The 22,542-nt window shown below is 44.5% G+C and overlaps 1 protein-coding gene across 20 annotated transcripts in view; it reads right to left on the bottom strand.

The window, feature by feature from the left end:
* The window catches only part of VWA3B (von Willebrand factor A domain containing 3B), a 243,450-nt gene that overhangs the window by 140,195 nt on the left and 80,713 nt on the right, over window positions 1-22,542 (bottom strand). For 16 of the 20 annotated variants that reach the window (XR_922885.4, XR_922884.2, NM_144992.5 and 13 more), the window contains 2 exons: window positions 9,210-9,406; window positions 2,293-2,447 (listed from right to left, as the gene is read on the bottom strand). Coding sequence is in view for 15 of the 20 variants with exons in the window: in NM_144992.5 (NP_659429.4) it covers window positions 2,293-2,447; window positions 9,210-9,406 (352 nt within the window). In the remaining 5 variants the exon portion in view is untranslated. Of the gene's footprint in view, window positions 1-2,292; window positions 2,448-9,209; window positions 9,407-11,104; window positions 11,179-22,542 lie in introns of those variants that run through there. The other 4 variants (NR_144296.2, NR_144298.2, NR_144297.2 and 1 more) reach the window with 3 other exon arrangements.

The raw sequence follows: 22,542 nt of genomic DNA, 5'->3' as shown, positions 1-22,542 counted from the left end.
CATCTACTCTAGTTTCTAATCTAGTTACAAGACAATTGACTGTTTAGAATGTATTGTGTAATGCATGCACAGAAGTGCACAACAATAGAAAGGGCGTAAGTGGGAGTGAAAGTTGTAAGATTCCTGTAATATACATGAAGTGATATAATATTATTTGTAGGGTGACTGATAAGATAAATATTGTAAATCCTAAATAGCCACACACACACATCAAAACACAACAAAGAGGTAGAGCTAATAAGACAATAGTGGAGATAAAATGTAATAATAAAAAATACTCAAACAAAAGAAGGCAAAAAACCAGTAAAAAGGGAACAGAAAACAAATAGCAAAATCTTAGATTTAAATCCAATCAAATCAATAATCACATTAAATGTAAATGATTTTAACACTCCAATTAAAAGCCAAAGATTGTTAGGTTGGATTAATAAAACAATGCTCATATATAATTATATATCTTGTGTCTGTAAGAAATCCATTTAAATACAGGATGCAGACAAGTAAAGATGAAATGATAGAAAAAAAGAATAATAAAAATAATGTAGGGCGGTTAAACTGCTATCAAAGTAAATTTCAGAGCAAGGAATATTACCAGACATATAAAAGGGACATTTCATAATTACAAAAAAGTTGGTTCATCGAGAGAACATAACAATCTTAAATGTACATGCAACTATTAATAGAGCCTCAAAATACATGAAGAAAAAACAGAACTGAAATGAGAATTAAAGACTACAGTTGGAGATTTCAACACTCTTTTCTCAATAATTTATAGAACAACTAGAGAAAATCAGTAATAATATGAAAGACTTGAATGACACTCTCAACCAACTTGAGCTAATTGATACCTGTAGTATACTCCACCCAACAAAACCATATTTTTTTTTTCCAAAATCTGTACTACAAAACAGGTCCCAATAAAATTATAAGAATTGAATCACACAGTATTTCTCTGTTTACAGTGAAATTAAAACAGAAATCAGTAACAAAAGCTATCAGGAAAATCCACAAATATTTGGGAAGTAAACAACACAATCGCACTGTCACCTAGGCTGGAGTGCAGTAGTGCGATCTGCAAGCTCCGCCTCCCGGGTTCAAGCGATTCTCCTGCCTCAGCCTCCCGAACGGCTGGGACTACAGGTGCCCGCCACCATGCCTAGCTAATTTTTTGAATCTTTAGTAGAGACAGGGTTTCACTATGTTGGCCAGGCTGGTCTCGAACTCCTGACCTCATGATCCACCCCCTTGGCCTCCCAAGGTGCTGGGATTACAGGCGTGAATCACTGCGCCCAGCCTAAACAGCACATTTCTAAATAACCCTTTAGTCAAAGAAGAAATGATGGGGAAAATTAGAAAATATTCTGAAATGATTGAAAATGAAATACAATATATCAAAATCTGTGAGAGGCAGCTAAAGAGTACAGAAGAAAGGTATAACACATTGGGCAATACACGTGTGGCCTAGAAAAGAATGTGAGGTATGAAACAGAAGCATTCCTTAGCCTCCTACCACAAGGTGTGACCAGTGTGATAGCCACACGTTGGCTTGCTGTTTTCAATAAACTGCACTGGCATCAAGGCAGCTGGGATCTGAATCCAAACAACCCCCACCTTTTTTTTAACAAGGCTATCAGCAAACCATCAGATGGCAACCTTGACTTAACAATGTTTTGTTGGCCCTTTGTCTCAGTTGAGCTTTTACTGGTATATATACACCATGGAGTACTACTAAACCATACAAAAGAATAAAATTCTGTCATTCGCAGCAGCATGGATGAGCCTACAGGACATTATGTTAAGCAAATTAAGTCAGACACAGAAAGATAAATACCACATGTTCTCATTCATATGTGGGAGCTAAAAATATCTGAGCAGATAGAGGTAGTGAGTAGAACTGTATTAGAGACTGAGAAAGGTAGGGAGAGAGGATAGGGAGGTTGGTTAGCGAATACAAAAGTTTAGCTAGATAGGAGGAACAAGCTCTGGTATTCTGCAGCTCTGGAGGGTCAATATGGTCAGCTATAATTTATGTATATTTTTAAAAAGCTAAATGAGAGAATTTTGAATGTTCACAACATACAGAAACGACGTGTGTTTGAGGTGATGGATATGTGAGTTACCCTGATTTGATCTTTGTACATTGTATACACACACCTAAATATCACTCTGTATCACATAAATAGGTACAATCATTATGTGTCAACTAAAAATAAAAGGGAGGAAAAAAGATCAAGCAGATGAGAATGTCCAGAGCGAGGAGACCACTTGTAACTTCCTGCAAATAACACCAACCTCCTTCGGATCCGGGCCAGGGCTGTGTGGATTCTCTCACTGTACCACTTGCACTTCTCTTTGGTAATGTTGACGTGGACCAAGCTCCCATCCTTCCAGGGAGCATGGACAAACCTGCTGCAATATTTTGCATGGACTGTCTTCTTGTTCGTCTCCTAAGGAGATGACAAAGGACAGAAGCCACTCAGAAACTGTCCAAAGAGAAGAGCCTCCAGATGGCACCTTAAGCTCTGTCGTATTCAAGTGGCTCCTAGCACTCCACTCTACCGTCAATCATTCCTTTGTTAGTTCAACCAAATATGTTCCGCTGCCCGCTTCCTATGGAGCCCTGCACTAGATGTCATGAACATAGGCCAGAAAGATACAGGAGATCACATGTGTGCCCCAGAAAAGCTAATGATTCCAGCATAGAGACACCCCCAACCGACACACACACACACACACACACACACACACACACACACAGACACAGAGACGGAGAGGGAGAGGGAGAGAGAGAGAGACATAGCAATGTGGAGAATTAGATACTCAGTCCCTGGCACTGGGTTGAGACAGTAAGGACCTGGAAAGTCCTGGTAAAGAAGAGAGAGCGACAGTGGACTAGACGGCCAGCGAGACCATTCTGGAGGAGGCAGGACTGAGATTCTCATGAATCCTCTTTTCCCACCAAGAACCCCACTGCACATCTAGCGCCCTCCACTGAGACAGACGGAGCGAGCCCTCCTCAGTGGACCTCCATGACTTGGCCCACAGGCACTCAACCGGCGCTCCTCCTCTTAGGAGACCTTCTAAGACACCAGGAATACAAACACACACAATGACCAAACCCCTGCCTTCATGGAGCTCACAGTGCAGGAGGGGAGCCCAGTAATAAGCAAATCATGACACATCAGGTCAGAGGATGACACGTGGAGGAAGGCAAGGAGGAAGAGCAGAGAGCAGAGAAAGAGGGGAGAGACCGGACAAGTTAGAACCTCGCAGGGAAAGCCTCCCAGAGACAGTGAGCTAGGAGAGAAGGCCTGGCGGAACAGAGTGTGGCCATAGCGAGGCTGGGAGGAGGTCAGAGGATGCAGCGAGAGCAAAGGCCTGAGCTGGGAGTCCACCTGGCATGCTTGTCGAATTTTAGGAAGGCCAATATTGCCAAAGGAAAGAGAGAGAGGGAAGAGAGAGTGAGAGAAGCCGGGACACACGAAGAGGAGGGCCAGGAGCAGGTCCCGTAAAGCCTGACAGCTGTCGGAAATGAGCTGGCTTTTGCTCTGAGTGAAAAAGGACTCTTCCCAGGGCTTTCACGAGAGCAGCAACATGTCTGATTTAGGGTTTCACAGCTTTACAGTGGTTACTCTGTAAAGCAGACTGGACGGCCGAGGACCAAGGGCAGAAGCAAAGAGCCAGAAGGTCATGGAGTTGCATGGCCCCGGGCAGCCAAGACCATGGTAAGAAGTGGCCAGATCCTGAATGACAGGCACGTTCTGAAAACAGAACCGACAGCGTTCACCGAGAGATCAGATGTGTGTATGTGAGAAAAGAGAGGAGTCAGGAATGACCCTGAGGTTTTCAGGCCGGGACGGGAAAGGGTGGAGTTGCAATCAATTGATAGGAGGAAGGTTGTGGAAGAGCAGCTTTGAATGGGAAAGATCGAGATTTACCATCTGATGTATCAGGTTCAAGGTGCCTATTAGACATCCAGGTAGCACGGCAGTAGTCGGGAGATCAGGGTAGGCCGCGGGGCTGGAGGGGTACATTTTGAAGGCGCCGGCCGGCATGCACAGGGGATTAAAAGCCATGGGACTGGAGGAGACCACCCAGGAAATGAGTGTAGACAGAGAAGCGATCAGAGCACTGCACCTCGAGGTGCTTCGGCATTGACAGGTTAAGGACAAGGAGAAGTCACAAAGAAGACTGAGAGAGGAACAGCCAGCGAGGTGGGAGGATAACCAGCAGTGTATATTCTGCAAAAAAAAAAAAAAAAAATTCAAGGAAGTGACCAACTAGATCAACTTACTAAAGGTCAAGTAAGAAAGAGACTGAGAATGGACCCCTGGATTTAGCAATTCAGAGATCCCTGCAAAACGTGGGTTTTGGTGGAGAGGTGGAAGTGGGGGAGTTTCTGCCTGATGACAGCAGCTCCCAGGAGCATGGGAGGAGAATTGAAGAAGCAGAGAAAGGAAACGTATACAACTCGACTGAGGAATTGAATTCTAAGAGGAGCAGAGGCGTGGGGGCACAGCCAGAGGTACATATGGGATCAAAAAACTTTTTAAGATGGGAGAAATGGCAGAATGTGTGTGTGCTGATGCGAATTATCTGGAAACAAGGGCAACAGGAGGCTGTGATGTAGAAAGGGAGAGTGAATAAACGAGTGGAGAGACAGCCATGTATCTGTGCAGTGAATGGCCTTAGACAGGACAAGGACAATTCGGCCTGGGAGAAATAAAGGTAGATGGCAGACACTGGGGGCTGAGATGTGGAGGCAGAAGCTCATGACATTCCCGTCGATGTTCACAACACAGGAAGCAAGCTCACCTGCAGAGAGTGAGTGGAGTGAGCGTGGAGCGGAAGGTGCTAGGTGTTTCAGGAGGAGAGGACAGCCAGTGAGGGGCTGAGTGGACTGCTAGGCAGCACAAAATATCCACTGACATTAGTGGGCGTGAATTTACAGTGAAACCAGGCATTATATATCGTGGCTGTTTTTCTCCAGTTTCTGCCAGTACAGTTAACTGCACGGAGATAAGCCAGAAAAGACGGAAAGTTGGCATTAGCCAGGGTTAAATCTGGGGTTTTGCCAGGTGAGTGCAATAGTTTAAGAGAAGGGAAAAATGGTTGAGGATGCATGGGAGGATAGAGAGGACAGAGAGGAGGTGGTAGAAACAGTAACTTTTATATCCTGGTGGAGGAGACAGATGGGTGGGAATAGCGCAAGAGAATAAACAACCTACAGATGACTTGGTCAGACAGGGGGGCTGGTCAGACAGTTTGGAACTGAGGATGTGGCTTATGATTACACAGTTATTTGTAATGACAAGGCTGAGGGCATGCCTAAGGCAGGAGTGGTAGAGATGGAGTTGGGGAGGAAGTCACTGGGAAAGAGAAGGTAAAAGAAATGAGAGGTTGGGGTATTGGAAGGGTCCTCCATATGGGACTGAAGTCACTATGAACTAAAGCAGGTGTTGGAGCCAATGAAAGCAAGAGAGAAGCCCCATAATCTTCGAGGACTGACGAGGGTGAGCTTAGTAAGTGACAACCACAAGAGATGTCTTCAGTGACACAGTCTGATGACGTGGGAAGAAGGAGAGAGAAGGTCAAGAACCAGAAAACAGGAGCAAGGAGGCCACCACCCACCCCAGGTCCACAGGTCCAAAGGGAATGGGAGAGAAACCAGCCCCCACTCCAGAGGGCTGCAGGGAGGGCTTCTCAGAGAGGAGCCCCGGTAAGCATCCAATGGGAACGTTTCAGAGGCCTGGAAGCAATCAGGGTTTGCTGATGATGCGCCCAGAGGGCGGGGTGGGGGGATTTTAGGAGTCAGAGAGGGTGGAGTGGGGTCAGAAAAGGGATGTTCAGAGCCGCATGGCAATGAGAATTCCTGAGTCCAGTGGTGACTGGTGAGAACGAGTGGACTCAGTAGACTACTGGGCAGCTCAAAAGATCCACTGACATGAGCGGGCATGAATTTACAGTGAAACCAGGCATTGCATTGTGGCTGTTTTCCTCCAGTTTCTGCCAGTACAGTTAACTGCATGGAGATAAGCCAGAAAAGGCGGAAAGAGGTTGAAGGGCATGATGAGATCTGTCCTATGCTCCCAAGGCAGGCAGAGGTGGACACCTCCGCTGCCCTGCAAGGATGGAAGGAGAAAGGTGTCTTGTCTCTCATGTTCACCACATCCCCATCAAAGGGCATTTCCCGAGTGTGCCTCATGCACAGCCAAATGGAAAACCACCAGACCATACACCACAGAGAGGCAGGTTCTGTGTCAGGCAGCAGCGTGTCAGAATGGGAAAAGCACAGTGTGAAAGCCCAGTGGACCCAAGTTCAAACCCTGCCTCCAACTGCCACAAGATCAATCTCAAGCGAGTTACCTAACCTCTCACAGGTCCCGCGACTGTTTTCTCCTGTGTAAACTGAGAGCACAAATGTTTACCTTGAATATAAAGCATAGAAGCGTTCCATAAATGCTCAATTCTGACTCACAATGTTTGTAGTGCAGAAAAAAAGGAAGGCAACATCTGTGGGGCATCTCCTATGTGCCGGGCACTGTGCTCAGACATGCATTTGTAAATTTGCACTTTACACTACCCATTTCACAAATATGAAGGGTGAAGCTCAAAGAAGTCACATGATTTGTTCAACATCTCATCATCAGTAACTACTAGAAGCAGCATTTATACCTAGAACTTCTCGTTCCGTATCCAGTGTGCCTTCCGCCATATCACATGAACTGGTACATAGCAGGGGCTCCATAAATATTTGTTTGAAAAATAGACAAAGAGACAAGAATGGGTTTTTGAACATCAGGCCTGGTTTTGTGCATGAGCTCAAGCAACCGTGCATGCAGTGTGATTTCAGGGATGCCTGAAATATCAAGTTCTTAGGCTTGGCCTGAAATTCCCTTATTAGAAATGCATGTTTGTCTCCTCCTCCCAGTTGTTCATCATCTTTGAACTGCTACATAATAAGGCCTTTTTAGCCATTCATTTCTGTGTTAACGAGTTTCCTGGGTCTGTTCCTATAAACTAGTTTTTATTGTTAAATATTTAGGGGGTCTTGCCCAGTGGGAGTCTGGGGGAACCCTAAATAATCTACCTATTTCACAGCCTTAGTTTCTTCCTACTTTATACACATCACAATTTTAGGTGTGAATCCAGTTTCAGTATGTAGTCCCAAAGACTAAAAATAAAACTGTCCCTTTCTCATCAGTATTTGTAAAAAAAAAAAAAAAAAAAAAGGGAGCTGTACTATATATTAATAATTCTCAATCTTTACCATAATACAGTTGACTAGCACAAAAAAATTGAGGTAAAATTCCCTCTTGTAAGCCAAATTATTCAAAGTGATCCTGTAAAATTTCATTTAAAATTGACAAGAATGAGTTAGGAGATGATCAGTATTAGAGCTAGCTTGAATATACTACATTGTTGTCAGTTTGCAGTAAGCTATGTTCAAATTGATGGGGATTAATATTTTGAAATATCCAGAATCTAATGTATTTTTTATTTTATTTTATTTTGAGACAAAGTCTCCCTCTGCCGCCCAGGCTGGAGTGCAATGGCGCAATCTTGGCTCACTGCAAGCTCCACCTCTCGGGTTCTGCCTCAGCCTCCCAAGTAGCTGGGATTACAGGCACGTGCCACCATGCCTGGCTAATTTTTGTATTTTTAGTAGAGATGGGGTTTCACCATGTTGGCCAGGCTGGTCACGAACTCCTGACCTCAAGTGATCTGCCCGCCTTGGCCTCCCAAAGTGCTGGGATTACAGACGTAAGCCACCATGCCTGGCCTATTTTTAAAATGAAAATTTAGTTATGTGTGATTTCCTGAACATTACAGAATAATGTCTACAAAACCAGAAAACTGTGCTGGGGGAGGAAACCCACAAATGAGATTTTCCCTGCGCTGTAGCAATTACCCTGCATCCTAGGGTAAGCCAGGAAACAAGTCGTGCATCAATTCTGCATTTTTCTAATTCAGTTTTTATATTTTCTTCCTTGCAGTTTGTCATAAATGCACAGCAGTGAGGGGGCAAGAACATAACATGGTGTGGCTCACATAGCCCCGACGGACAGTGCCCTTTCCATGGAGGGCATGTAGGGCTCAGTGGCCGGCCAGCCTAATAACAAGTGGCAACAGGACTGGAGTTCCCCCTCTGCTGGAGTTACAACATCTCAGTAATGACCCTGACTTTGAATCGGAGCCTTCAAGAATACATGAGGTGACACTGCATTTGAGGGGGGGGCCTTGATTTTCTTTCCCAGGTGTCTCCTCTGGGCTGCGGTCACCCGCCTGTCACCTGCCTGTCTGCCCTGGGCTTGCATTTTAGGTTCACTTCACAGCATGTACCTGGAACTTTGCCACCTCCTGAAAGAGCCTGCCTTTGGTTTTGCAAATCTGCCATGTTCATTTTATCCTGATTTCTATTTCACATTGGGACACTTCTTAGTCTTTCCATGCTTCTAAACCTTTGACACCTTGTCTTCTGGTTCCTGTTCTACACCTCTCTGCTTCTCAAGGTGTGGCCCCTGGACCAGCAGTGTTAGCATCATCTGGGGGTTGTTATGGATGCAAATTCTTGAGCCACATTTCGGACCTACTGACTCATATGCATGATGCTGGAGTTAAGGCAGCACTGCTGTCGAGCACTGTCCTTCATTGGGAGCCAGAGTCAGGCACTAGGAGAAGCTGTATTCCTACAAAACCCACAATAGAACTGCAGCTTTCAAAGTTTTTAATGGTTATAGCCCTTTGGAGGATCTGACTCCTTATTTGCTGGGATTGCGCTGTATGCTGGCTGCTAGTCACTGGAATAATGAGGGAAAATACAAGAGGACCACAGAAACGCCTGCTGCGCTGGGCATACTCACCAGCAATTTCTCTTTTCCATTCAATATGGGGGAACAAAGGGCTTCTCTATTTGCATAATGTTGAATAATTCTGAAACTCATAATGCCTGATTTCTCCAAACCCAGCCCCTGGCTTATGTACAACTCACTGATGTCTAGAACTCATTCCCAGCCTTGATCTCCACTCCCACAGATGCCCTTTGGAGAAGGGTGAGGAGGGAAACAGAGGAACCCTGTTCTTCACAGAAACCCAAGCTGGTTTCTCTCCCTGCTGCCCCTTCCCCTGCCTTCTGACCCGATGGAGGCCTCACCCACCCAGGACTTGAGGGGAGGCCCCAGCCCCTCCCAGGAGTGCACTTCACCTACCGCACTGGTCTGCACGGACTCATTCTCCGGTTTGGCTTTTATATCCACAACCCCATCAGCGTGGCGGAAAGAGCAGTCGGCAAGCACATCATACAAGGATAGCTTCTGGGCCTTCAAGCCATATTTCTGCAGCCATGTCTTAGAGTCCCAGGTGTCTTCTGGATTCGATGCAATCTCAACAGAGGTTGTTTCTGACTCTGTAGAATCACAGCTTGTCAGCCATTCATACTGCATGAGCCATTCATATTACACCCCCAACTTAATATTGACCAACTTGGAACGTGTTCTTTATTAGACACAAAGCCCATGTTTCATTTCAGAAAACAGCTTTCCAAAGCAGGACTGGCAAAGAATTATTAGGCTTTTAATGGCAAAAACCACGACTACTTTTGCACCAACCTAATAATTCAAAAGACTGCAAAGCAGGGTTACTTTTTATTTCACTTCCTCCTCTACCAAAGTTGACTGGCCCCATGCCTGGGTGAAGGTGACCAGTAGACCAAGGCTGTGTGTCAGGAGCCATGTATGTGTAAGGATGGAGTCAGAAGCTCTGGCTTCAAGGCCTGGCTCCATCACCTTCTAGCAAGTTGCTCAAACTTGGGTGAGTCACTCCACTTGACCTCTCTGAGCTTAGGCAGGATTCTTCACCTGCAGCTGGAAGACAGTATTTGCTTGGCCTTCCTAGGTAAACTGCAGCAATCCAGTGAGAAAAGTTATGTGAGGCCAGGCATGGTGGCTCACGCCAATAATCCCAACACTTTGGGAGGCCAAGGCAGGTGGATCACCTGAGGTCAGGAGTTTAACACCAGCCTGGCCAACATGGCGAAACCGCATCTCTACCAAAAATACAAAAATTAGCCAGGTGTGGTGGCAGGTGTCTGTAATCCCAACTACTTGGGAGGCTGAGGCAGAACTGCTTCAACCTGGGAGGCGGAGGTTGCGGTGAGCCGAGAATGCACCACTGCGCTCCAGCCTGGGCAAGAGAGCAAGACTCCATCAAAAAAGAGGAAAGAATGAAAGAAAGACAGAAAGAAAGAGAGAGAGAGAAGAAAAGAAAGAAAGAGAGAAAGGGAGGGAGGGAGGGAGGAGAGAGACAGAAGAAAGAAAGAAAAGAAAGAAAGAAAGAGAGAAAGAAAGAAAGAGAGAAAGAGAGAAAAGGAGGGAGGGAGGAAGGAGAGAGAGAAGAAAGAAAAAGAAAGAAAATAGAAAGGGAGGGAAGGAGGAAGGGAGGAAGGAGATAGATGAAGGAAAGAAAGAGAAAGAGAGAAAGGAGGGAGGGAGGAAGGGAGGAAGGAGAGAGAGAGAAGAAAGAGAAAGAAAGAGAGAGAGGGAGGGAGGAAGGAGAGAGAAGAAAGAAAGAAAAAGAGAGAAAGAAAGAAAGAAAAAGAAAGAAAGAAAGAAAGAAAGAAAGAAAGAAAGAAAGAAAAGAAAGAGAAAGAAAGAGAGAAAGGAAGGAGGGAGGAAGGGAGGAAGGAGAGAGAGAGAGAAGAAAAAGAAAGAAGAAAGAAAGAAAAAGAAAGGAAGAGAAAGAAAGAAAGAAAAGAAAGAGAAAAAAGAGAAAGAAAGGAAGAAAGGAAGGAAGGTAGGTCACGTGAAAATGCTCTGTAATGTGGTGGAAAGAGAAGTGATGAGGTGGAGGCGATCAACACGCGAAGGCTAGGAGGCTGCCTCCCCTGAAGCCCCTTTGTTACCTTGGTGAGTGTGTCCTGACTCACAGCCTGGCTTTCCACCCTGCAGGCTCAGAAACCTCATGTGCCCTATCTAGGACAACTCACCTTAGCTTCACAGGGAAAAGAATAACCACAATGCCAATTGCCTAAACATCTCCAGCCTCAGGCACATTCTCGTGGTGTTTTCCAGAGGTAATCTACACTGAGAAGACTGTGTTATGTTACCTGAGCGGGACAAGCCAGCATATCACACAAGCAGAAAACTATTTTTCCAGATGACTCGAAACTTGGAACAGCACCTAAGGGAGAATGAGCTACTCAGGGGTGGACACAAAGGAGGGGTGAGGAACTGTGAAGCTGAGGAGGCACTGGTGTCTGGAGCTGGCTGTGCACATCTCCCAACTCCATGCTGGGCGATGGCCGCTTGGTAGGATGAAAGAGACCATGGTGGGAGTATTTATGGAATCTGGAAATCAGCACATGCTACACATCGGGGCTTTTTTCATTCCCGGGAGTGGGTTGTTAAACATTTGCACACCACTGGAAGGAAGGCAGAAAGGACCCTGAGATTTTGGCCCCACTGGGACCACGGGAGCCCTACGAAGACGCAGAAGGGGTTCCTGGCAGGGAAATGTTTTTTTCTAACATGAACTATCACGTAGGATGTCCACCAGCGCTATAGAGTTTTGTTTAACTCCACTTACATTAATGGCTCTCAACCTTTCACAGTGGCATCCCCTGAGGAGCTTTAAAAAAAATACTGATGCCTGAGTCCCATCCACTAGATTCTATTTTAACTGGTTTGGGAGTGTGGCCTGGACATTGGGATTTTACAAAGCTCCCCAGGCAACTGTATTGTGCAGCCAAGCTTTGCCACTGGCTTAAGGTGGAAAGGGCTTCTCAGTTATGACTTGGTAACCCCATCAGCTGATGCTTCCATCAGACACACATGCAAGTGAAGTACTATTAATTAAAAAGTAGCACTCACTGTTAGGGAAACAAAAATATGACCCAGGCTTTCCTATTACTATATTTAAGGGGATATAGAATTAGGATAAGATGGGAAGACATAAATCATGTTAGAGCCAATTCCTTCTGTATAATGTGTAAAGGACCTGCCCATTAATGCTTCATGAGACCCATGTCCTTGAATTTTAATAGAACACCATTGAAAGAATTCACTCTGAAACCTACTAGAGTGGGGACTTCTCAAAGAAGCTTGTTCTGGATTTTGAACTTTAAACCAACCTTGCATCAAAAGCCCCTCAGAGCAGCATCCCCGACACCTGGAGCTGGCTTTTCCATGAATCACAAAACATTTTTTCACGCTTCTCCGGGAGCTCAAGCCAGAGGCTTCTCAGAGCTCCGAGTCCCTGGGGTTCGCCTGCACACTCTCTCCCATCACAAAGAAGCAGCAAAAAGAGGATGCCGCCATTTCTGTCAGGGAGATCAGCCTCCTTGGAGAAACCCTTGGGGTGACATTTTCTTCAATTATTATTAATTATATTCCCATTCATTGTGTTTCTGCTTAGGAAGACCTTTCCTTTTCTCCTCTCCCTTTTTTTTCCTGATCAATAGGTGCAGTAGGAAATTAAATTTTCATTCAATTATTTCCATAGCAACACACACCTTATTATACCCTTCTGCTCTGTTTTGGGCTGCCTTCTTTTAAAAAAGTTAAGAGCCCTCTATCAAGTATAAATTCAAGTGTACCACAGAACTTCCTAAAAACACATTCGAACCAATCCTCGCAAGGGTTTTGAAAGAGTCAGAGACTAACTTCTGACTCCAACTTCACAGTGGACCAGGCGGTGCAGTCCTGAGGGCAGGATTCAGGCTCCCAATTACCATCTGAAAAGGGGGTTCAGGCAAGCCGCCAGAGCCACCTGAACTTTCATAGAGGAAAGAAAGGATGACCAAGCAATCAAAACCAAAGAACCCAGGCACTCTAAAGCTAAAGAAAGGAGAAAAAAAAAAAGGAGGGAAATCTTTTAACTTCCAGTGCTAATTACACCAATTAGTGGCTGAGTCTCATTTTCCTGGGAGGGGCAGGGAAGGGCATCATCCATTCACTAGCGTCACTTACTAAGGGGTCCTTTCCTTTTCCCTGCAGTTATCTTAATTAAAAATGTTACATGAATTCTCACCCACAGAGAATTCATTTATTATAGAAGTATGAGCTCACAGCTAATCCTGATTACATGGCTTTCCTATTCCACAGGACAGATTGCTAAAGATGTTCTTTCTGTTATGAGAAGGGAGCACATCTATGCCACAGAATTGACCAGCCCTGTCCTCCCCATCCCACTTGTCAATCTCAGAACATTTTTCAATGAAAAAGACCTACTGGGAAAATGCTTTTGAAAACCATCCCTGCTATAGCCAGGGCCACACACAAATAGATAAATTGGGCATAGGTATCAGTGCCCACTCCTCTTCCTGTCCCTCATCCACCCACCCTCCAGGTTCAGCTCCAGAGGGGCTCACAGCCATCAGGGATTTCTCACCACCATAACTCTCTTCTCCCAGCCTCCTCCACTGAATGTTACTTGCCTGGCACCTCATTCCTGCCACGCTAGCCCCACATGCCTTTCAGGGGGGCTGTCAGCGTATGAATAAACTGGAACTCTAGACCAAGTCTGATGTTTCCAAGAGTGGGTCCCACAGAAACTGCTTCCACTGCATGTCAGTGGCTTCTACTCAGGAAGAGGGCTCCTTAGACAAAAAGTTTGGGGAGCTTGAAAGGAAAGTTTCAAAGGATTCTTGATCACAGGACTTCTGTAAGACTTTCTTAGGGGAATGGGCAGTGGGGCTTACCACAAGCAAGATTCCCAAAGCTATTTAGCCCCAGAGTCTTTCTGCATAGAACATTTTAGAGGGCTTGTATTTGAGAGACCATAACCCCTGTGATCATGGGTGCCATGAGACAATGAACAAACTCTTGGCCACCACATGGGGAGTGGTACAGGAAAAGAATGCTGTGAATTAGCTGAAAAGGAAGGCAGAAGGAAAGAAGGAAGGAGGGAGGAAGAGAAAGAAGGGAGGGAGGGGAAGACCGAAGAAGGGAAGGAAGGAAGGAAGGAGGGAGGGAGGGAGGGAGATGTTTGGTATAATATGGAACAATTGAGATTAGGAAGTGAGACAGGATTGATGGAGTTAAGGAAATTTAGACTGAGTGACCTGAAATTCACATGTTAAGTGGTGATGATGAGGGAGGGAGGGAGGAAAGGAGGGAAAGATAGAAGGGAGGGAGGGAGGGAAGGGAGGACAGAAGAAAGGAAGGAAGGAAGGGAGGGGAGAAAAGAAGGAAGGAAACCAGAATTGAGGACAGCTGGGAAAGGAGGGAGAAACATAACAACTGTCAGGAAAAGAAATGTGGTCTCGCCTGCTGGTGAGATGAGTGAGGTTTCAGCCCTGTGAGCCGGTTCAGCATGGAGCAGCTGCAAGGGCTGTGGGTTCTCTGAAGGTAAGATGAAGCCCATCCCAATCTGAGATCCGGGAGCCAGGTGGCGACAGTGTGGTGTGAGAGAGAAGCTCGTCTCTGAGCAGTCAAGCCCTTTGCTGCAGTTGCTAACTAAACCTGCTGTCAACCTACACTTGCTAAAGTACCATGCAATAAGCATATCTGCCTGGCACTGCAGGGGAGCCAAGAAATGGGGAGGAGGGAATGAAGGAGATGGAGGATGGTAACCCACCAACATTCTACCAAACGGATTCATTGTGGAGATCAGGTAAATGTTCTCTGGAGCACCCCACGGGCTTTCAACAGCTTGATTATAATGTGTCTAGGTGTGGGTGTCTTTTATCCTACATGGAATCCATTTTGCTTCTTGGATGGGTAAATTAATGTTTTCATCAAATGTAGGGAGTTTCCAGCCCTTACATCTTCAAATATTCTTTCTCTCTCTCCCCCATCCTTTGGGGACTCCCATTGTTCACATGTTGTTATGTTTATGGTATGCCATTGGTCTCTAAGACTCTGTTTGGTTTTTTTCATTCTTTATTCCTTTTGTTCTTCAGACTGGGTAACCTCAATTGAGCTATCTAAAAATTCATTGGTTTGTTCTGCTTTCTCAAATCGGGGTGTTGAACCCCTCTAGTCAGTTCCTCATTTCAATACTTTGTACTCCAGAACTTTTTTCAACTACAGAATTTCTATTTGCTTCTTAAATAAAATTTCTCTCATTATTGATATCTCTAATTGGTAAGACAGTGTTCTTATACTTCCTATGTTCTTTAGACATAGTTTCCTGTAGTTCTTTGACATATTTAAAATCGCTTATTTAATATCTTTATCTAGTAAGGTCAATGTCTGGGCTTCCTCCTGGACATGGACAGTTTCCTCATGGACAATTCCCTCATGGACAGTTCCTATGGATTGCTTTTTTTCCTTTGTATGGTCCATACTTTATTTCTTTGCATGCCTCATTTTTGTTGTTGTTGACAACTGGACATTTTAAATAATAAAATGCAGCAACTCTGGAAATCAGATTCTCCCACCTGCCCAGAGTTTGTTGTGATTTGGTGGTTGTTTGTTTATCACTCCTGAATTCTGTAAAATCTGCATTCTTTATCATTTGTAGCCACTGGAGTCTCTGCTCAGTTAACTCAGTGGTCAGCTAATAATTGAACAGAGATTTCCTTAAATCTTTTGGACTATTCCTTGCTGAGGAGCTGTGTGTGTATCAGGCCACACTTTCCATGCTGTAGCAGTTAACAACTCTCCCTCAGCCTTTACTTCCTGCTTGTGCAGAGCCTCAGGGTCAGCCCAAGATGAGAGCTTAGGGCCCTCCTGAGTCTTTTTTTGAACATATGCATAGCCTGGGCATGCCCACAGCCCTGTGCATGTGCCTGCCTGGGCTATGCATGATAGATTCCCAGGAATACCTCAGAGCTTTGGAAAGACCAATGGACATCCCATTCCCCAGTTTTTCATCTTAAGTGTTTTGGTTTACCTCTTGTTTGTCCTGACTGTTATCTACAACCTTAGTCAGCCACAAAATTAATCAATCACCTCTCATTGTTTTTGACAACGGTTCCCAGGGAAAAGGCTTTTCCCACTGAGGAAGAACTGAGTGAAGTCAAATAAAGAAAGCTTTGTAACTGGGGTCTTCCAGAGAGCCAGTGAACAGGTCACATAATGAGAATTATCTGGAAATGAAGCTTTGAAGGAACTCCAACCCCATCCTGCCCCCTCCAGTGGCTGTGAGCCTGTGGTTTCCACTGTGATCACAAACTGTTCGTTTTTAAGGTTAGTGAGGAGCTGGAGCTGGGGAATGTGAATAGGACTAGCTAAAATGCCACCAGCTCACTATTCTTACTGAGATTTAATTATTTTTCTTGAATAAACACTTCCCAGATTGCTGCACACCTTGGGTTAATTTCTAGAGTTATGAAAAAGGTTGATTCTGATAAGGTCCTTATGCCTTCTATGAAGGAGAAGTTTTGAAGGTCCTTAACTCTGCCATTTTTGCCCAGGTATTTTTGGTGTTTCCATAATTAGGGGTCCAAATACACGAAATATAATTCCTCAATAGATTTGTTGTGCTTTTCCACAGTCATTTTTTTTTTCTTTTGAGACAGAGTCTCGCTCTGTCGCCCAGGCTGGAGTGCAGTGGTGCGATCTGGGCTCACTGCAGCCTCCGCCTCCCGAGTTCAAGCAATTCTCCTTTCCTCAGCCTCCCGAGTAGCTGGGACTACAGGCGCCCGCCACTACACCCAGCTAATTTTTGTATTTTTAGTAAAGATGGGATTTCACAGTGTTGGCCAGAATGGTCTCCATCTCTTGACCTCGTGATCCACCCACCTCGGCCTCCCAAAGTACTGGGATTACAGGCGTGAGCCACTGGCGCCCAGCCCTCCACAGTCATTTTTTAACAACATGATTTTTAACATTGACATTTCACCATACCTGTATCGCATTCCAGTATCTTTCCCAAGTTATATGTATAGCATCTACAAAATGCTAATCGACCAATTCTCCCAAATTTGGGGAGAAAATTTTCAGCAATTAATCTTGAATCATGGGAGAATTACATGGTATTTTTCTGCAAATGTTTGCCATGTGTGCTTTTTGTCTGGAAAATGCGAAGCTCAGTGCCCATTGGAAAATACATATTTGAGTAAGCACAGTCTTGGTCCTTTCTGGCATTCTCACTTGTTGCTTATCAATCAACCTTGTCAAAGTTCACTTGACTCTACACAGAGCTCTACATATATAAAGGCATTCTGAAGAAAATGTGAGTTCTGGGAAGAAATATTATTTTATCCTTTGCCTTGCCTGAAGTGTGAACACTTTGACAAGTGTGTCATTCGCTTCTGGTTGCATAAGAAACCAGCTGCGCCCTGCCCCAGATCTCTTCTGCAGCCTTCTTTGAGCAAAAAGGGAAGACACTCTTGAAAAGATAAACATGTACAAGTACTCTGTAAATTAGCTTGTTCTGCTCTCAAATTGCAAGTCATCCTGTTGGTAAAATAGTCTTCATCTAGTACACTTATTAAACATCTAGCATTGGTGCAGAACAGAAAACTCAGATGATATGTTCACCTCTGTGGCTATCAGAGTCCAAAAAACTAGGGGTCAAAGATTCAGAAACATGGGGTTCCTGCTTGATATGTCTATATTTATCTTTATACCAAGAATGTTCACTTCACCCCAATAGTGTATCTGAATTCTCCACCTACATAGTCAATTGCGTCCTTTATTTCTCTACCGGGCTCTCAAGGATTCTTCAGTCTCAATAGGTTCAAACAAAATGTGTCATTCCCCACCCTGACCCAGTTCTCCTCCAGCATTCTCTCAGTGTAGTGGACGACACCATATCCATCTAGGAGCTTACTTTTGACACCTCCATCTCCCCCACCCCCAAGTCCTATTGATGCGGAAGTGCTGGGAAGGGAAGAGCTGGTCCCTTTAAACGATATGGAAGTGGGGAAGGAAAGTGCTGGGTACAGGAAGGGTGTGGACCCTGGCTAGGGTTCCACCCCCATGGACCTAGGTGGGGACATGCGTTTCTGTTTTCCTGCCCAAATGTTGCATTTCCCAAGACCAACCTGGCCTGTCACGCCCCCATTCTGTGCAGAGACAGAAGCAGCTGGACATCGAGAGGAGCATATCGGAGGAGGAACACACAGGTGGCTGGATGTCGGGAGGAACGCACCGGCATGCCAGCAGGCCCCTGGCCAGCAGGCCCCTGACCAGCAGAATGACGCAGAGTTTGGCTGGGGCAGTCAGAGGAGAGCCCAGGCTGCCAAGCCGCCTGACTCCAGGGGAAAACCATCACCCTTCTAGCTCCCCTATCTGCTGAAAGCTAATTCCACTCAATAAAACCTGGCACTCATTCTCCAAGCCCACGTGTGATCCGATTCTTCTGGTACACCAAGGCAAGAACCCAGGATACAGAAAGCCTCTGTCCTTGCGACAAGGTAGAGGGTCAAATTGAGCTGGTTAACACAAGCTGCCTATAGATAGCAAACTAAAAGAGCACCCTGTAACACACGCCCATTGGGGCTGCAGGAGCTGTAAACATTCACTCCTAGACATTGGCACGGGGTTGGCACCCCACAGCCTGCCCATCTGTATGCTCCCCTAGAAGTTTGAGCAGCAGGGCACTAAAGAAGCGAGCCACTCCCCCATCACACATCCTGCAAGGGGACAAGGGAACTTTTCCTCTTTCACTGTCGATTCAGCACCCAAAGTCTCCCTCATACCTGCCCATTTATCACCTTCACAGGCTCCTCCTACTCTTGTCCAGGATGCCACCATCACTGTACTAACATCTTTATTCTCTTCCCTCATCCTGTTTGTCCCCTCATCTCCAACTTGTTTCCCACCCTGTAGCCAAAGTGATCTTTTTTTTTTCTAAATGTAAATCTGATCTTAGCATTCCCCTGCTTACAATCCTCTAGCAGTTGGCCATTGGTATGAAATTGAGGGTGAACCCCTGTACCGCGGCCTCCAGAGCCAGCACAATCGGGTCCCTGCTTCCCTCTCCAGACTCATCACTGGACACTGCACTCCAGCCACACTCCTCTTTTCAGTTCTTCTAAAGTGCTGTTCTCCTTTCTGCCTCGGGGCCTTTGCATATGCTATTCTTCTTCCTGGCATACACTCCCGGCTCTCTCCCATCTTTTCACCTCATTAACTTACCTCTTCAACCCTCAGATACACGCTCCAAAGTTATTTCCTCAGGAAACCTTTCCTTGACCCTGGGAATAGCTCAGAAGCTCCCACTTTTCCTCAATCGTAAATACCCCATTTGTGTTCATCCGATTTTCTACCTTCACGGAGCAAGAGATGGTTCATGTAGGTCCTGCTTTATGAGGGCCCGTTCCATGTCTCTTATTTACCATTACATCATCACCTACCATAGTGCTACATTGAGTAAGCACTAAATAAAGGAAAGAATAGACGAGTGGATTAAACTTTTCTTAAGCCATCATTACATTCTAACTATGTGACAGCACATTTCTAGGTGTTTTACATGTGTTTTCTGATGTAACTTTCCTAACAGTCCGTGGAGTAGGTATTATCATTATCATTCACATTTTGCAAATACGGAAACTGAAGCACAGATAATAAGTGTCTTGCCCAGCATCACACAACAGGAGTGGGCAGAGCCAGGTTTAATATTGTTCTGGTCGGGCACGGTGGCTCACGCCTGTAATCCCAGCACTTTGGGAGGCTGAGGCAGGCGGATCATGAGGGCAAGAGATAGAGACCATCCTGGCCAACACAGTGAAATCCCGTCTCTACTGAAAATACAAAAATTAGTTGGGCATGGTGGCGCACACCTGTAGTCCCAGCTACTCAGGAGGCTGAGGCAGGACAATCACTTGAACCCATGAGGCAGAGGTTGCAGTGAGCCGAGGTGGCATCACTGCACTCCAGCCTGGTGACAGAGCGATATACTCCATCTCAAAAAAAAAAAAAATCTTCCTAACTCTGAGTCTGTGTACTTCATCACCACCCAGGACTATAAAGACATCTTGCTGATTATTTAATACAATACTAATGAAAATAAGCACCATCCCCCTCTCCATTTGTTCAAAAAATATGTGCTCTAAACTCCTGTAGACCTACTGTAGGTTGCAACTGCCTGCAGAGCCTGAATGAACCTTCAGCCATTTCCTTGTCTTTTGAAACTGAATTTGGTATTTTGAAACAAGCAAGTATTTGGAGCCAAATCTTGAGTCTCAGATGGTAATCTTTTGGACTGTCTTTGTTCATGATTAAAGCATGACTACACAATGTGATTCGACTAATGATTTCTACTGAGTCACAAAATGGCTGTGAAGGTTATTCCAAATGAGGAGTTCCTGAAATGCTTTGAGAGGCAGCATCATCAAAGAAGGGTCAAGCTTTGGACAAATTCTATTCATTGATTGATTGATTCATTCATCCATTCATTCATTTTGAGACAGAGTCTCGCTCTGTCACCCAGGCTGGAATGCAGTGGTGCGATCACCACTCACTGCCACCTCGACTCCCCACTTCTCAACTCAAGCGATTCTCTCACCTCAGCCTCCCAAGTAGTTGGGACTACAGGTGCGCACCATCATGCCTGGCTAATTTTCACATTTTTTTTGTTGAGGCGGGGTTTTGCCATGTCGCCCAGGATGGTCTCAAACTCCTGGGCTGAAGTGATCTGCCTACCTCAGCCTCCTAAAGTGCTGGGATTACAGGTGTGAGCCACCATGCCCAGCCTGGACAAATCCTTTAACGTTTTGTGAGAAAAGCCATCTTCATGTTTGAGGGTCATGCCCAGAACAGGCACACCGACACACACACACACACACACACACACACACACACACACACACACACAGAATGCCCAGGTGTGTCCCACCCACGTCTCTGAACAGCTCAGCGCCAGAGGAGTGACTCTCCTTCTCTTCTACTTTGTCCTCTTCTTTCACTTTACCAACAGTTGTATTGAGCTACAATTGACATATAATATCTCATACACCTTTAAAGTGTACACACTGGTAAGTTTTGACATACGTATGGTTAGATTTATGTTTATCATCTTGCTATTTGTTTTCTATTGGCCCTATCTGTTCTTTGTTCTTCTTTTTTTTTTCTGACAGGTTTTGGATTGGGTATTTTTAATTCCATTTTATTTCCTTTGTCAGCTTGTCTTGTTATTTTAGTGGTTATCTTAGGTTTATACTACACATCTTCAATTTATCATAGTCTAACTTCAAGTACTATTACATCACTTCATGTATAATATGTGCCAATGATAAATTATTTCAGCTTTTGTATGTCTGAAAATGTTTTTATTTTGTCTTTGTTTTTGAAAGACATTTTTGCTTTGTATAGAATTCCAGGCTGAATGTTTCATGTACTGAAAGAAAAAATGCTGCCCCACCGTCTTTTCATTTGAGTGAGAAATCTGCTGTCATCCTCGTCTTTGTGGCTTTGCACATATCTTTTTTGTTGTTGTTCTGGCTGCTTTTAAGATTTCCTCTGTATTACTGATTTTAAGCAAACCAATTAAAATGTCTCTGGGTGTAGTTTTCCTCATTTTCTTGTGCTTAGCATTCACTGAACTTCTTGGATCTCTGGGTCTATAGTTTTCATCAAATTTGGAAACTTGTCAACACATTTCTTTAAATATTTTTCTGTTCCCTGTCCCTTCTACTTCCTCCCCGCAGGAATCCCATCTAATGTCTATTTGGCCACTTGAAATTGTCCCACAGTTCACAGATCTTCTTTCGGGTTTTTTTAAATCTTTTTTTCATATGTCTGTCTCATTTTGGATAGTTTCTATTGCTGTCTTCAAGTCCACTCATCTCTTTTCCTGCGATGTCTAATCTGCTATTGATTCCATTCAGTAAGCTTTCCAGCTAACATATTTTCTTCTCTTAAGTTTTCATCTCTAAAAGTTCAGTATGTGTCTTTTTAAATATCTTTCTTGTCTCTAAAAGTTCAGTATGTGTCTTTTTAAATATCTTTCTTGTCTCTAAAAGTTCAGTATGCGTCTTTTTAAATATCTTTCTTGAAGTTAAGAAAGCTGAATGGCTAGCCAATGATGAAAGGTCCCGGCCAAACTTTCCTTTTTAAATAGAGATAGGACATTCAAAGAATTTTTTGAAAATTTCTGCTTAGAGTTATTTTGGGTTTTAGTTTGTGTGTGTGTGTGTGTGTGTGTGTGTGTGTGTATGTGTGTGTATTAGATTGAAACAAAGGGAACTGATACATAATTGTCCAATATCTGAGGCTCATAACTCATCTGTTTCCTTTAGGAATAACATCCAAGACCTTCTGTTAACTCTTAAGACTAACTACACCAAACTTAAATATGCCTCGTATTAGCTTTTGAACATATGGAATACAGTTATAACTCTGAGTGACTCTTCTGCCATTTCTAATGTCTGTGTTAGTTCTCAGTCAGTTTTGATTGATTGATGTTTCTACTTATCACGGATGACATTTTTCTGCTTCTTTTCATGCCTTGTAATCTTTGATTAGATGCCAATCATTTTGAGTTTGACCTTGTTGGGTACTGGATGCTTTTGTTCTTACAAATTTTCTTGAGCTTTGTTCAGAGATGCAGTTATGTTACCTAGAAATAGTTTGTTCTTTTCATGTCTTGCTTTAATGATTTCTTAGGAGGGCCCAGAGCAGTGCTCAATTTAAAGCTAATTATTCCCCATGA

The sequence above is a fragment of the Homo sapiens genome, chromosome 2, assembly GCF_000001405.40.
Source record: "Homo sapiens chromosome 2, GRCh38.p14 Primary Assembly".
Classification (NCBI taxonomy): domain Eukaryota; kingdom Metazoa; phylum Chordata; class Mammalia; order Primates; family Hominidae; genus Homo; species Homo sapiens.
Note: the sequence above shows the minus strand (reverse complement) of the source record. Positions and strands in the feature narration are given on the sequence as shown.